Source organism: Homo sapiens, chromosome X, assembly GCF_000001405.40.
Source record: "Homo sapiens chromosome X, GRCh38.p14 Primary Assembly".
NCBI lineage: Eukaryota > Metazoa > Chordata > Mammalia > Primates > Hominidae > Homo > Homo sapiens.
In genome coordinates, this window is record NC_000023.11 from 111,548,104 (window position 1) to 111,549,977 (window position 1,874).

The following is a 1,874-nucleotide window of genomic DNA, read 5'->3' on the forward strand; positions in this document are numbered from 1 at the left end:
CACATCAAGCTCGAGGATTTGCCCCCACCCAGGACTGGCAAATTAGCTTTACTCAACATGCCCTAGTCAGGAAACTAAAATACCTCTTAGTCTAAATAAACACTTTCACTGAATAAGTAAAGGCCTTTCCCACAGGGTCTGAGAAGGCCACCACAGTCATTTCTTCCCTTCTGTCAGACATAATTCCTCAGTTTAGCCTTCCCACCTCAATACAGTCTGATAACAGATGAGCCTTTATTAGTCAAATCAGCCAAGCAGTTTTTCAGGCTCTTAGTATTCAGTGAAACCTTTATATCCCTTATGGTCCTCCGTCTTCAAGAAAAGTAGAATTGACTAAAGGTCTTTTAAAAACACATCTCACCAAGCTTAGCCACCAACTTAAAAAGGACTGGACAATACTTTTACTACTTTCCCGTCTCAGAATTCAGGCCTGTCCTTGGAATGCTACAGGGTACAGCCTATTTAAGCTCCTGTATAGACGCTCCTTTTTATTAGGCCCCAGTCTCATTCCGGACACCAGACCAACTTAGACTGTGCCCCAAAAAACTTGTCATCCCTACTATCTTCTGTCTAGTCATACTCCTATTCACCGTTCTCGACTACTCATACACGCCCTGCTCTTGTTTACACTGCCGGTTTACACTGTTTTTCCAAGCCATCACAGCTGATATCTCCTGGTGCTATCCCCAAACTGCCACTCTTAACTCTTGAAGTAAATAAATAATCTTTGCTGGCAGGACTATGCCAAATCTCCTTAAGCACTCTCTAATCAGATATCCTGAGTCGTCCCAATTCTTAGACCTTTTATACCTGTTTTTCTCCTTCTGTTATTCCATTTAGTTTTTCAATTCATACAAAACCATATCCAGGCCATCATCAATCATTCTATACGACAAATGTTTCTTCTAACATCCCCACAATATCACCCCTTACCACAAGACCTCCCTTCAGCTTAATCTCTCCCACTCTAGGTTCCCACGCCGCCCCTAATCCTGCCTGAAGCAGCCCTGAGAAACATTGCCCATTCTCTCTCCATACCACCCCCCAAAAATTGTCACCGCCCCAACACTTCAACATTATTTTGTTTTATTTTTCTTATTAATATAAGAAGGCAGGAATGTCAGGCCTCTGAGCCCAAGCCAAGCCATCTCATCCCCTGTGACTTGCACGTATATGCCCAGATGGCCTGAAGTAACTGAAGATTCACAAAAGAAGTGAATATGCCCTGCCCCACCTTAACTGATGACATTCCACCACAAAAGAAGTGTAAATGGCCGGTCCTTGCCTTAATTGATGACATTACCTTGTGAAAGTCCTTTTCCTGGCTCATTCTGGCTCAAAAAAGCACCCCCACTGAGCACCTTGTGACCCCCACTCCTGCCCGCCAGAGAAAAAACCCCCTTTGACTGTAATTTTCCATTACCTTCCCAAATCCTATAAAACGGCCACACCCTCATCTCCCTTCCCTGACTCTCTTTTCGGACTCAGCCCGCCTGCACCCAGGTGAAATAAACAGCCATGTTGCTCACACAAAGCCTGTTTGGTGGTCTCTTCACACAGACGTGCATGAAAACATATGCAACTGGTCATGTCTCAGGCCCTTTTATAAAACTTTTGATCACTGGGAAAGTTAGATAGGCATCTTTATGGAGGAGGCTTATCTATGGGCATTGTTTTTGTCTTGAGTGGTTATCTATGCTACAAGCATTGCTTCTTGACTTCACTGCAAAATGCCTTGGTCTACAGGAGTCAAACATCAATCACTACAGCAGTTTTGCTTCAAGACTGCCTTACTCTTGCTATGCAACAGGTTGTTTTTCAACAATCATTTTATAATCTTTTTCATTTGCTGGTAGATATTTGGGTTCAAATGA

At 43.3% G+C, this 1,874-nt stretch overlaps 1 annotated feature.

Annotated features, from left to right (window-relative positions):
* Positions 1,042-1,555: an enhancer, noted in NCBI's record as "OCT4-NANOG-H3K27ac hESC enhancer chrX:110792373-110792886 (GRCh37/hg19 assembly coordinates)". NCBI's record gives its function as "activates a minimal SCP1, AML or CMV promoter by ChIP-STARR-seq in naive and primed H9 embryonic stem cells {active_cell/tissue: H9 hESC(naive and primed)}" and the evidence as "EXISTENCE:reporter gene assay evidence [ECO:0000049][PMID:30033119]".